This window comes from Homo sapiens, chromosome 6 (genome assembly GCF_000001405.40).
Source record: "Homo sapiens chromosome 6, GRCh38.p14 Primary Assembly".
NCBI classification, from domain to species: Eukaryota; Metazoa; Chordata; class Mammalia; order Primates; family Hominidae; genus Homo; species Homo sapiens.
Genome location: NC_000006.12, coordinates 15,216,483 through 15,231,501, shown reverse-complemented (window position 1 = coordinate 15,231,501; position 15,019 = coordinate 15,216,483).

The window sequence follows — 15,019 nt, the reverse complement described above, 5'->3', positions numbered from 1 at the left end:
GGGAGGCCGAGGCGGGCGGATCACGTGGTCAGGAGTTCAAGACCAGCCTGGCCAATATAGTGAAACACCGTCTCTACTAAAAATACAAATACAAAAATTAGCTGGGCATAGTGGAGCATGCCTGTAGTCCCAGCTACTCGGGAGGCTGAGGCAGGAGAATCACTTGAACCCGGGAGATGGAGGTTATGGTGAGCCGAGATTGCACCACTGCACTCCATGCTGGGAGACAGAGGGAGACTCCGCCTCAAAAAAAAAAAAAAAAAAAAGAGAGAGAGATTAAGACATAGACACGAAGAGGGAAGAGCTTATAAGGACACAGGAAGAAGACAGCCAGCTTTAGTGAAAGGGACAGGCTCTAAGAGAAACCAATCCTTCTGACACCTTGATCTCAGACTTACAGCTTCCAAAACTGTGAGGAAATAAATTTTTGTTGTTTAAGTCACCACATCAGCTAGGCGAAATGGCTCACACCTGAAATGCCAACACTTTGAGAGGCCGAGGTTAGAGGATCACTTGAGCTCAGGAGCTTGAGACCAGCCTGGGCAACATAGCAAGACCCCATCTCTACAAAAAATGTAAAAGTTATCTGGGCATGGTGGCACCTGTGGTCCCAGCTACTCAGGAGGCTGAGGCAGAAGGATTGCTTGAGCCTCAGAGTTTGAGGCTGCAGTGAGCTATGATTGTACCACCGCAATCCAGCCTGGGAGACATAGCAAGACTCAAATCTTTTTTTTGTTTTTTTTTTTTTTTTTTTGAGACGGAGTCTCACTCTATCGCCCAGGCTGGAGTGCAGTGGCACGATCTTGGCTCACTGCAACATACGCCTCCTGGGTTCACGCCATTCTCCTGCCTCAGCCTCCCAAGTAGCTGGGACTACAGGGGCCAACCACCACGCCCGGCTAATTTTTTTTTTTTTTTTTGTATTTTTTAGTAGAGATGGAGTTTCACCGTATTAGCCAGGATGGTCTCGATCTCCTGACCTCGTGATCCGCCCTCCTCGGCCTCCCAAAGTGCTGGGATTAGAGGCATGAGCCGCCATGCCCAGCTGTTCCCAAATCTTTTTTAAAAAGGTTTTTTTAGCCCCACATTTTAAAATAAAGAAGCAGACCAGGCACAGTGGCTCATGCCTGTAATCCCAGCACTTTGGGAGGCTGAGGTGAGTGGATCACTTAAGGTCAAGAGCTGGAGACCAGCCTGGCCAACATGGCAAAACCCCATCTCTACTGAAAATAGAAAAATTACCTGGGCCTGGTGGCATGCACCTGTAATCCCAGCTACTTGGGAAGCTGAGGCAGGAGAATCGCTTGAACCCGGGAGGTGGTGGTTGCAGTGAGCCGAGATCATGCCACTGTACTCCAGCCTGCCAACAGAGCAAGACTCCATCTAAAATTAATAATAAGTAAATATAATAAAAATATAAGTAAATATATAAAAATATAATAATAAGTAAAATAAAGAAGCAGCGAAGGTATTTCATTTTGCTGATTTAGTAGATGAGTTTATACTATATTTTAAAAGAACAACTCAAATTTTTATAACACTTGACAATAATTTGAAAAACCAACCATGAGCCATGCATGGTGGCACATGTCTGCCGTCCCAGCTACTCAGGAGGCTGAGACAAGAGGATTTCTTGAGCTCAGCTTGGGCAGCATAGAGAAAGTCTGACTCTAAAACTTTTTTATTTTTTTTTTGAGACAGGATCTCACTCTGTCACCCAAGCTAGGGTGCTGTGGTGAGCTCATGGCTCACTGCAGCCTGGATCTCCTGGGCTCTAGTGATCCTCACCTCACCCTCCAGAGTAGCTGGGACTACAGGTGCGTGCCACCATGTGTAGCTAATTTTTTTTTTTTTTTGAGACGGAGTCTCGCTCTGTCGCCCAGGCTGGAGTGCAGTGGTGCCATCTCAGCTCACTGCAAGCTCGGCCTCCCAGGTTCACGCCATTCTCCTGCCTCAGCCTCCCAAGTAGCTGGGACTATAGGCGCCTGCCACCTCTCCCGGCTAAGTCTTTGTATTTTTAGTAGAGACGGGGTTTCACCATGTTAGCCAGGATAGTCTCGATCTCCTGACTTCATGATCCGCCTGCCTCGGCCTCCCAAAGTGCTGGGATTACAAGCGTGAGTCACCGTGCCTGGCCTTTTGCTGTTGTTGTTGTTGTTGTTTTGTTTTTTTTTTGTTTGAGACAGAATCTCGCTCTGTCACCCAGGCTGGAGTGCAGTGGCACAATCTCGGCTCACAGCAACCTCTGCCTCACGGGTTCAAGCAATTCTCCTGCTTCAGCCTCCTGAGTAAGTGGGATTACAGGTGCCGGCCACCACATCTGGCTAATTTTTCTATTTTTAGTACAGACTGGTTTCTCCATGTTGCCCAGGCTGGTTTTGCACTCCTGACCTCAAACGATCCACCAGCCTCAGCCTCCCAAAGTGCTGGGATTAAATTAGCCTGGCATGGTGGTGTGCGCCTGTAATCCCAGCTACTTGGGATGCTGAGGCAGGAGAATTGCTTGAACCTGGGAGGTGGCAATTGCAGTGAGCCGAGATCGCGACACTGCACTCCAGCCTGGGCAACAGGAGTGAGACTCCATCTCAAACAAAACAAAACAAAACAAAACAAAGTGTTGGGATTACAGGCATGAGCCACCATGCCCAGCCTAATGTTTTAATTTTTTTTGTAGAGATGGAGTCTTGCTATGTTGACCAGGCTGGTCTCAAACTTCTGGGCTCAAGTGATTCTCCTGCATCAACCTCCCAAAGTGCTGGGATTACAGGTGTGAACCACTGTACCAGGCCTGTAAAAAAAATTTTAAAAGCAAACAGCCTAGTTTTGATTTGCTAGGAACTTTCTGGTATTAGCACTGAAAGCCCTACATTCCAGAAATTTCAGTCCTGGGCATACCAGTGAGGTTAGTCACCGTAGCTTGGAAAGACATTTGAGACTGCAAGTTGCATGAGGGCAAAGCCTTTGTTTCATTCTTTTCTCTTTTTTTTTGAAACAGAGTCTCATTCTGTCGCCCAGGCTGGAATGCAGTGGCGCGATCTGGGCTCACTGCAACCTCCGCCTCCCAGGTTCAAGAGTTTATTTTGCCTCGGCCTCCCGAGTAGCTGGGATTACAGGTGCATACTCCCACACCTGGCTAATTTTCATACTTTTAGTAGAAATGGTTTCACCAGGTTGGCCAGGCTGGTCTCAAACTCCTGACCTCAGGTGATCCACCTGCCTCGGCCTCCCAGGGTGCTCAGATTACAGGCGCCACTGTGCCGGCCTCTTTGTTCCATTCTTGGCTGTGCATCCAATGAAGGGCAGAACAAGCTCTCAATAAATATTTTCAGAATGACTGAATCAATCAATGTCCTCTGAAATAAGGCTGCTGTCTTCATACCCATTTCTCTGAACACTTGGAAGCAAAGGCACATAAATTACAGTTACCAAGTGCCGTCCCTGCCATGCATTCGGACTCTGATCCAAAGTGGTGAGTTTACAGACATGAGCCACCACACCCAGCCCCTGCATCTGATCTCTGATCCACCAAGAAGACTTTCTCCACCTGAGTTACCTTTCCAGGACTCCCAGGAAATTCTTTCAATTCTTGGTCACTCTTAACCAAAAGCGTAACTCCCACCTTAGACCTGGAGGCGAATCCTTAAAAGCTGTGATTTTAAAGCCAGCTGTAGTGGAGAGTCGGGGTGGGGGGGTGGCACAACTTCCAAAATCCAAGGTTAATAGGCTGTGAATTGCCACTTTCTTTGCTCATTGTCTGTGCTTCAACAGTTCCTTTAACCTACTGTCATTCAGCTTGGGGAGGAGAAGAAAGTAGGAATGGCACCAGCTGCAAGGGAGAGGCTGACAACAATGCTCTCCCCTCCCCTCGCCCCCCACTCCCACCCCGCTTGTCCCCCCAAAGCACCAGGCATTCAGTTATACAGTATATATTTATACAGCCTACCCAATGCGAATTCAAATTTATTTCCAAGTCATTAGGGCCAATTACTCACCTTTGGGCCCTGTAATATCATTTGTTTCCTGCCAAACCGAATGTTTTTCCTGTCGCAAATATGATAAATCCTGCATAGTGACGTTCAATCATGTTTAAACTGATTCAGATTGTGGTAGGAATTGGGTTGTATGCATGGATGGACTAAGTCATGAAATGTAGACCTCATGGATGATTATTTTAATTTGAGAATAATTCAGTCCTATGGAGGAGAATTGGCTTACTCAGAAGGTCCTACTATGAATACCGGTACTACTTATTTCCATTAATTTGGCCACGACTTGAAAGAATGCAAATTTTTTTCCCTTATTTTTGCCATTAAGGACTCAATTTGCTTTCTTCTCTAGCTTTCAAAAATATATTGAATTCAGCCGGGCACAGGGGCTCACACCTGTAATCCCAGCACTTTGGGAGGCCAAGCAAGGTGGATCACCTGAGGTCAGGAGTTCGAGACCAGCGTGGCCAACATGGTAAAACCCTGTCTCTACTAAAAATACAAAATCAGCCAGGCATGGTGGCACATTCCTGTAATCCCAGCTACTTGGGAGTCTCAGGCAGGAAAATAGCTTGAATCCGGGAGGCAGAGGTTACAGTGAGCCAAGATCCTGCCATTGCACTCCAGCCTGAGCAAAAACTCCAACTCAAAAAAAAAAAAAAAAGGCTGGGCTTGGTGGCTCACACCTGTAATCCTAGCAATTTGGGAGGCCAAGGTGGATGGATCATTTGAGGTCAGGAGTTCGAGACTGGCCTGGCCAACATGGTGAAACCCTGTCTCTACTGAAATACAAAAATTAGCTGGGCATGGTGTTGCGCGCCTGTAATCCCAGCTACTCAGGAGGCTGAGGCAGAAGAATCGCTTGAACCTGGGAGGCAGAGGTTGCAGTGAGCCAAGATCGCACCACTGCACTCCAGCCTGGGCCACAGCTAGACTCTGTCTCAAAAAAAAAAAAAAAAAAAGACTCAAGCCATCTGCTTAGTCCTCCCAAAGTGTTGGGATTACAGACATGAGCCACGGCGCCCAGCCCCTGTGTGTGATGTCTGATCTTGACATTGAAGGGAGTAAAAAGTCATGTAAAAAATGGCCCTTGCCTATAAGGAACAAAAGTATATCCTCAATAAAATACTGCCTGCCCTGTGGGAGACTGCAGTCTACATGAAAAAAAAAAAGGGCCAGGTGTGGTGGCTCACGTGTGTAATCCCAGCACTTTGGGAGGCTGGGGCAGGTGGATTGCCTGAGCTCAGGAGTTCCAGACCAGCCTGGGCAACACAGTGAAACCCCATCTATAAGAAAATACAAAAAATTAGCTGGGCGTGGTGGCATGCACCTGTAGTCCTAGCTACTCAGGAGGCTGAGGCAGGAGAATGGCTTGAACCCAGGAGGTGGAAGTTGCAGTGAGCTGATATCATACCACTGCACTCCAGCCTGGGCGACAGAGTGAGACTCTGTCTCAAAAAAAAAAAAAAAAAAACAAAAAAACAAAAAAACAAAAAAACCAGATATGCACATGGAAAAAAAAGACATACAGAAATTGTACATCAGTGCCCATGATAAGTTTCCAAGAAGGTCCAGCCCATAAATTCTCAGGGTTTCTTCCCCAGACCAGGGGTATCAGGGTCTCTTATTATTTGTTGTAAATGCAAATTACCCAGCCCTTCTGAATGAGAAACTGGGGCGGCGGGTGGGGGGGCACCCAGCAATGTGTGTTTTAACAAGCTGGCTAGGGAACTGTGAGGTTCATTCAGGTTTGAGAATTCAGGTTTATGTAGATGTTTTAGTTCCCTGTTCCTTGCAGGAGTGATGTGGAAGGAACCAGCAAGGAAGCTGCAAACCGATTCTGGCCTAGCAGCTCCTTTTTTTTTTTTTTTTTTTTATGGAGTCTTGCTCAGCTGCCCAGGCTGGAGTGCAGTGGCTCAATCTCGGCTCACTGCAACCACTGTCTCCCAGGTTCAAGTGATTCTCCTGTCTCAGCCTCCCAAGTAGCTGGAATTATAGGCAACCGCCATCATGTCTGGCTAATTTTTATATTTTAGTAGAGACGGGGTTTCACCATGTTGGCCAGGCTGGTCTTGAATTCCTGACCTCAGGTGAACCATCCTCCTCGGCCTCCCAAAGTACTAGGATTACAGGCTCGAGCCACTGCACCTGACTGGCAGCTCCTTTATAAGATTTTAATTTCCCAAACTACCTAGTAAATTTCGTTATAGATAACACTCTCTTCAACTATAGTGGTTTTTGTTGTTGTTTTGTTTTTTTTCAGAATCCCACTCCATTGCCAGGCTGGAGTGCAGTGGCGTGATCTCAGCTCACTGCAACCTCCACCTCCCAGGTTCAAGCGATTCTCCTGCCTCAGCCTCCTGAGTAGCTGGGACTACAGGTGCGCACCACCATGCCCAGCTAATTTTTGTATTTTTAGTAGAGACGGGGTTTCACCATATAGGCCAGGATGGTCTCGATCTCCTGACCTCGTGATCCACCTTCCTCTGCCTCCCAAAGTGCTGTGATTACAGGCGTGAGCTACCACGCCCAGCCTATAGTGTTTTTCTTCAGTCACTGGTGTTAAAGGGTATTTATGTGTGATTGTCTAATTACCTCCCTTCATTAGACTACAAACCCCAAGAGGGTTCGACTTTGGGTTCTACTTCATTCCCAACTCCTGATAGTTTGCTGACGTTAAATGTTAATATGTTTCTTGCTGTCCCAAAATTTCATATTTTCCCCTAATTTGTTGTAGATATATTAAGGACCTGTTATGTATCTGATCTCTCTTTAAAAAACAAAAAAAAGAGAGAGAAATGGGGTTTCACCATGTTGCCCAGGCTGGTCTCAAAGTCCTGGGCTCAAGCCATCCGCTTAGTCTTCCCAAAGTGTTGGGATTACAAGCCTGAGCCACGGCGCCCAACCCCTGTGTCTGATGCCTGATCTTGATATTGAAGGGAGTAAAAAGTCATGTAAAAAATGACCCTTGCCTATAAGGAACAAAATTATATCCTCAAGAGAAATTAAATAACAGCATAAGGTGGCCTATGATTATGTACAAATAAACATTTTAGATTAGATTAAGAAATATCATAGAATTCATAGCCGGGCATGGTGGCGGGTGCCTGTAATCCCAGCTACTGGACTGGGAGGCTGAGGCAGGAGAATGGCGTGAACCCGGGAGGCGGAGCTTGCAGTGAGCCAAGATCGCACCACTGTATTCCAGCCTGGGCAACAGAGCGAGACTGGGAAAAAACAAAAGAAAGAAAGAAATCCCATACAATTCAGAAAAGAGGCAGTGAGAGATCCAGCAGGTTGAGAAAGCTTCCTACAAAGGGCAGGACTTGAGTAGGACTTTCAAATTTAACAGTGACGTTTAAGTCTCCAGAACAATGGAGAAAGTGAGAGGAAGGCGAAACAAAGGGCACTAGTGGCGTGGAGCAAGATCTGTGCATATTCCAGGAGCCTCAGCCTGGAGACAAAGGTGCCCTTGAAATGGGAAAGGGCTGGAGTGGAGTATGAGGTGTCTACTGGAGCCCTGAATGCCAGATTCACTTGGAACTGTTTCCCTTTAGTAGTCTGTGCCTTGGTTTCTGTTGTCTCGGGGACAGGGCAGATGAAAGGAAGACTGAGGGCCTTGTGCACAAGTTATTGGAGGTAGAGAGGAAAAGAAGAAAAGAACCTCCAGAGCTGGGGGCAGTAGCTCACACCTGTAATGCCAGGACTTAGGGAGGCAGAAGTGAGACGATGACTTGAGCCCAGGAGTCCAAGACCTGTCTGGGCAACAAACATAGCGAGACCCCATTCTCCACAAAAAGTTTAAAAAAAAAAAGGAAGGATCAAAACAAACAAACAAGAAAAGAACCCCCACCCCAAAAGGATCTCTGGTAGTAGGCTCAGTCATTCAGCCTCATTTATAGGGTGATACTCTGGTGTCCTGAGGTGGAGTGGAGGGCTCTTTCCTGAAGAAGCTCACAGCAGACGGATAGGAGGCCATTGCACTCCAGCCTGGGCAACAAGACTGAAACTCCGTCTCAAAAAATAAAAATAAAATAAAAACAAGAGTGAGCTTGGGCAGCTCAGAGAATGCTGTTCCTGTTGAGAGAAACAGGGAAGTTAGGATGGGAAACCGGTTTTTGGAGGGGAAACTGGGCTTGAAAGATGACTATTTCATTTTTGGACACACGTTACGTTTTCTCTCTGGAGCTGGTATGTTTGGTTTCTATAGTTGTTCCTTCTTCCCTTAAAACTTAGTTTCGGTGCTTAGAGGGGAAAAACAAAACAAAACCCCAGCCCAGCTGGGCACGGTGGCTCACGCCTGTAATCCCAGCACTTTGGGAGGCTGAGGCGGATCACCTGAGGTCGGGAGCTTGAGACCAGCCTTACCAACATGGTGTAACCCCTTCTCTACTAAAAATAAAAAATTAGCCGGGCGTGGTGGTGCATGGCTGCAATCTCAGCTACTTGGGAGGCTAAGGCAGAAGAATCGCTTGAACCCGGGAGGCAGAGGTTGCAGTGAGCCAAGATCTCGCTATTGCACTCCAGCCTGGGCAACAAGAGCGAAACTCCATCTCAAAAAAACAACCAACCAACCAACAACTACAAAAACACCTCAGCCCAGTTGTGGGTCTTTCCCAAGATCTAGGTGCATCTATTTGTACGACTGGAAATTACCCCAGAGCCTGAGGGATCAATAAACAGCTGAGTTTTTCCAGATTTTTTTTTTAACTTTTTTTTTTTTTTTTTTTTTTTGAGATGGAGTCTCGCTCTGTCGCCCAGGCTGGAGTGCAGTGGCGCGATCTCTGCTCACTGCAAGCTCCGCCTCCCGGGCTCACGCCATTCTCCTGCCTCAGCCTCCGGAGTAGCTGGGACTACAGGCGACCGCCACCACGCCCGGAGAATTTTTTGTATTTTTAGTGGAGACGGGGTTTCACCGTGTTAGCCAGGATGGTCTCGATCTCCTGACCTCGTGATCCACCCGCTTCGGCCTCCCAAAGTGCTGGGATTACAGGCGTGAGCCGCCGCGCCCGGCCTTGCTCCAGATTTTAAAGGGACAAGCATCAGTGGTGAAGAGATGCTCCCCGGGGCTGTCCCACCCAGCCTTCCATTCTTGCAATCACTGGCTGCAGGTGAGGGGAGACAGGAACCTCACTTGCTTGGCTGCACTTTTGTTTTTCCACAGAGTTCTTACTCCAAGAATCAGGGCTTCCTGATTGACCCGTCTGACTAGAATCACGGCTCTCTCATCCCGAACCATCCCGGCTCAGCTTCTGAAAGAAAAAACTTTCTAAACAGATGCTGCTCTCTGGGGACAGGCACTAAGGTTTCTGCAGCCTCTTAGTCTTTCAGTCACTTTAAGTCCTACTCCAGCTGGTGGCTGTGGCTACCTGTCAGAGAGAACATAGGTCTGTCTGACTTTCCTGATCTCCGGAGTGGAGACAGCCCTGCAGTGCAGGGTCAAGACAGGGCAGAACAGCCTGGCCTGACTCCTCTCCATGGGACTCCTCTCCATGAGTAGAGCAGGTTGGAATGGGGCCAGCTGACCTCTTCAGCTCTCAGCAAACTTTTTAAAGCCACCAGCCACGTGGCCTCCTTGACTCTGCAGTCTCCCTGACTGATGTAGAGTCTCCCTGACTGACCCTTTTTAAGCACAATAAATTTAACTTGGATTTCTTGGGGTCAAGCTAACCTCACCTAAAGAACTTGCTTAGCAGAGTTGAAGCATTGCTGAAAAATAACATTCATCTAGGAATAAAAATGACTTTGTTATGTAGGGATTTGACAGAACAAAGGGCAGCTGCTCTGAAATCAAGTAGGAACCCTGGGTTGAATTTGGTGGCTCACATTTGTAATCCTAGCACTTTGGGAGGCCAAGACAGGAGGATCGCTTAAGTCCAGGAATTCAAGACCAGCCTGGGCAATGTAGCAAAGCCCCATCTTTATATAAAATAATAATAATAATGAAAGTAGGAACACTGGTGTCCCTCTTGGCTCTTCCCTCCCCATATTCTCCCTAGCACCAACAGCCAATCAGTCACCTGATTCTTCTTATTTATTTTATTTTATTTATTTATTTTTTATTTTTTTATTTTTTTTTGAGACAGAGTCTCGCTTTGTCGCCCAGGCTGGAGTGCAGTGGTGGGATCTTGGCTCACTGCGAGCTCCACCTCCCGGGTGCACGCCATTCTCCTGCCTCAGCCTCCTGAGTAGCTGGGACTACAGGCACCTACCACCACGCCCGGCTAATTTTTTGTATTTTTATTAGAGATGGGGTTTCACCGTGTTAGCCAGGATGGTCTCAACCTTCTGACCTTGTGATCCGCCTGCCTCGGCCTCCCAAAGTGCTGGGATTACAGGCGTGAGCCACCACGCCCGGCGATTTTTCTTTTTATAAAGCACCTTTCAAACCCATCCACTTCTGTTTCTTTAACCTAGACCTTCATTAGCCTAGACTTTCAACTATTACTTGTCCCACTGCAACACCCTCCAAACTGGTCTTTCTGCCTCTTGCCTGGCTACAATCCATCCTCCCCAGGGAAAAGATTGGTCTTCCCACCATGCAATCCTAGCTAAGCACTTCGGTGGATCATCTGTGAGGACAGCCACCAACAAATTATTCTTTCTGTGAACAGGAACGGATGGAATCCATTTCCTCTCCCCCGCCTTTTTTTTTTAGAGTGGGGAGCTCTGGTGCAGGATCCCCTCCTCTTGAGTCTGGGTCTGTAAATTGCTTTTACCAACAGAGTGTGGTGAGGGTAATATTCTGGGACTTCTAAACCCAGGTGTTAAGAGCCCAGCTTCGCCAGGCATGGTGGCTCATGCTTGTAATCCCAGCACTTTGGGAGGCCCAGGTGGGTGGATCACTTGAGGTCAGGAGTTCAAAACCAGCCTGGCCAACATGGTAAAACCCCCCGTCTCTACTAAAAATACAAAAAAATTAGCTGTGCGTGGTGGTGGGCACCTGTAATCCCAGCTACTCAGGAGGCTGAGGCAGGAGAATCGCTTGAACCTGGAAGGCAGAGGTTGCAGTGAGCCGAGATGGCACCACTGCACTCCAGCCTGGGCAACAGAGCGAGACTCTATCTCAAAAAAAAAAAAAAAAAAAAAAAGAAGCCCAACTTCCTTTTCCTTCTCTTGTCCATCAGCTGCCATGTAAAGTCGTCTGATAGCCAGGTGTAGTGGTGCATACCTGTATGCTACTTGGAAGGCTAAAGCAGAAGGATTGCTTGAGCCTAGGAGTTTGAGGCTACAGTGAGCCAAGATCATGCCATTGCACTCTAGCCTGGGCAACAGAGCAAGACCCTGTCTCAAAAAAAAAAAAAAAAAGAGGCTCTGAGCCAGATTACTGGATGGTAAGAGATCAGGTGAAGATGCAGGGGACCAGCCAGCCTTCACACATTGCAGCCACCTAAGGCATCAGAGAAGTGAATGAAGTCATAGTGAACATTCTGCCAGTGACTTCAGATTCTCCAAGGCCTGTCAAGCCACTCCAGCGAGCACCATCTGGAGGAAGGAAGACCCATCTCTGTCAAGTGTTTAAACCACTAGATTTTGGCATCATTTTGACATGGTTTGTTACACAGCTATAGATAGCTGAAACATGCCCTAGTTTTTTTTTTTTTTTTTTTTAATTTAATTTTTTTTTTTGAGACAGAGTCTCAACTTCCCAGGCTGGAGTACAGTGGCGCAATCTCAGCTCACTGCAACTTCCGCCTCCCAGGTTCAAGCAATTCTCCTGTCTCAGCTTCTCGAGTAGCCAAAACTACAGGCATGAGCTACCATGCCCAGCTAATTTTTTGTTTTTGTTTTTGTTTTGAGAAGGAGTCTTGCTCTGTCACCCAGGCTGGAGTGCAGTTGCGCCATCTCAGCTCACCGCAAGCTCCACCTCCTGGGTTACGCCATTCTCCTGCCTCAGCCTCTGGAGCAGCTGGGACTACAGGTGCCTGCCACCTCGCCCGGCTAATTTTTTGTATTTTTAGTAGAGACGGGGTTTCACCATGTTAGCCAGGATGTACTCGATCTCCTGACCTCATGATCCGCCCACCTTGGCCTCCCAAAGTGCTGGAATTACAGGCGTGAGCCACCGCGCCCGGCCTGTATTTTTAATAGAGACAGGGTATCTCCATGTTGGTCAGGCTGGTCTCGAACTCCTGACCTCAGATGATCACCCACCTCGGCCTCTGAAAGTGCTGAGATTACAGGCATGAGCCACCGCACCCAGCCTAACATGCCCTAGTCTTGTTTTTGTTTTTGTTTTTTGAGACGGAGTTTTGCTCTTGTCGCCCAGGGTGGAGTGCAATGGCGAGATCTCGGCTCACTGCAAACTCTGCCTCCTGGGTTCAAGTGATTCTCCAGCTTCAGTCTCCTGAGTAACTGGGATTACAGGAATGTGCCACCACGCCCAGCTAATTTTGTATTTTTAGTAGAGATTGGGTTTCACCATGTTGGTTAGGCCAGTTTCAGACTCCTGACCTCAAGTGATCCACCCACCTCAGCATCCCAAAGTGCTGGGATTACAGGCGTGAGAGCCACTGCGCCTGGCCAGCATGTGCTATTTAATATTTGATAAATGAATGACTAGCCAACTGAATGAAGGTTAGAACTATGGAATAGGCCAGGTGTGGTGGCTCACACCTGTGATCCAGCCCCCACCACCTGTGGTTCACCTGTCTTCAGCAGGCTTCCTTCCTCTGCAAGATTGTCGCCTACAGCAACCAGGGCTTACTCTGAAAGGGGAGAAAGCACTGCTCTCCATAATCATCCAACAGTTTGTACTTTCTTTCTTTCTTTTTTTTTCAAGGCGGAGTTTCACTGTTGTTGCCCAGGCTGGAGTACAACGGCGCGATCTCGGCTCACCGCAACCTCCGCTTCCCCGGTTCAAGCAATTTTCCTGCTTTAGCCTCCTGAGTAGCGGGATTACAGGCATGCACCACCGCACCCGGCTAATTTTGTATTTTTAGTAGAGTCAGGTTTCTCCATGTTGGTCAGGCTGGTTTCGAATTCCCGACCTCAGGTGATCCGCCCCCTCGGCCCCGCAAAGTGCTGGGATTACAGGCTTGAGCCACCGCACCAGGCCAGTTTGTACTTTGACAGTGATTGGCTCATCCCTGAACTACTCTAAGCAAATACTACGAGTTAACTGGTTTGGGTCTAGATTATTATCCATACATCACCCAATTACTGCGGCAGAGGAGTAGGTAACTTTAAACTGATTTATATATGCCAATTAAGGTCTATGCCTCAGAGCTGGGATAGGTTTATTCCTACTCAAGACTTAATGAGGGGCCTGGCACAGTGGCTCATGCCGGTAATCCCAGCACTTTGGGAGGCCCAAGGTGGGTGGATCATTTGAGGTCAGGCGTTCGAGACCGGCCTGGCCAACATAGGGAAACCCTGTCTCTACTAAAAATACAAAAATTAGCCAGGCGTGCTGGCAGGTGCCTATAATCCCTGCTACTTGGGAGGCTGAGGCTGGGAGAATTGCTTGAACCCGGGAGGTGGAGGTTGCCGTGAGCCGGAGATCCTGCCATTGCACTCCAGCCTGAGCGACAGAGTGAGACTGTCTCAAAAAAAACCCAAAAACCTATGGAATATTCGTTTTGGACTTGATCATTTTTTAAAATTTTTACTTATTTTTATCTTTATTTTTTCATGCTTGGACTGTTAGAGAAAGACTCATAATTTTTATTCTTCCCTTATATCATCCCTGATCTTGCCCAGCAGATGTTATCTTCTAAAAGCTTTGTTTCATATGCTCTGATTCTTAAATTTCTCCTATCTCAGCTGTCTCCAAAGGGACAATAATTGGTGTTCATGATGATATGACTTGGGATAAAATGAAACCTTGAAGTGATACATTGTCTGAGGTTATAGTTTTAACTTTGGAAATTCAGAAACCCAATTTATGAAAATCTATATCTGTAACTCTGAATTAACCCATATGTTAAAAACTCCCAAAGAACCCAAATATTTGTCAATGTGGGGAAGAAAAAAATCCCCTGATTTTGTAAGTGTTTTTACTTTCTGAAAGGGGATTCCATATCTCTTATTCATTCGCGTCTCATCACAGTTCTGAGAGATGAGTAGAAGAGGTGGTGGCACTGTATTTCTGTTTTACAGGTTTGAAAGCAAAGGTTAGCCAGGCATGGTGGCTCACACCTGTAATCCCAGCACTTTGGGAGGCGGAGGCGGGAGGATCACAAGGTCAGGAGATCCAGACCATCCTGGCTAACACAGTGAAACCCTGTCTCTACTAAAAATACAAAAATTAGCCGGGTGTGGTGGCGGGTGCCTGTAGTCCCAGCTACTCGGGAGGCTGAGGTAGGAGAATGGTGTGAACCTGGGAGGCAGAGCTTGCAGTGAGCTGAGATCTCGCCACTACACTCCAGCCTGGGTGACAGAGGGAGACTTCGTCTCAAAAAAAAAAAAGAAAGCAAAGGTTGTATGAGTGTCCAGGGTCATATAGCTGGTTAGTACTACAAGTCAAGTAGGATCCATTCCACTGATGACTGACTGACTAGTCTGCTACTTTTGCCCCATACAGTGGTGATAATAGTAAGAAGTTTCAATTTATTGAGTAACTGAAATTTGTACTTAAGATTTGTACGTTTCTTAAGTAATTTTTTTTTTTTTTTGAGACAGAGTCTCCCTCTGTCACCTAGGCTGGAGTGCAGTGGCAAGATCTTGGGTCACAACAACCTCCGCCTCCTGACTCAAGTGTCTCTCCTGTCTCAGCCTCCCAAGTAGCTGGGATTACAGGCGCAGGCCACCATGTCCAGCTAATTTTTGTATTTTTAGTACAGACAAAGTTTCACCATGTTGACCAGGCTGGTCTTGAACTCCTGAGCTCAGGTGATCCAACCGCCTCGCCTCGGCCTCCCAAAGTGCTGGGATTACAGACGTGAGTCACCACGCCAGTCCCTTAATTTTAAAATTATTTTATTTATTTTTTGAGACAGAGTCTCACTCTGTCACCCAGGCTGGAGTGCAGTGGCATGATCTCAGCTCACTGCAACCTCTGCCTCCCGGGTTCAAAGGATTTTCCTGCCTCA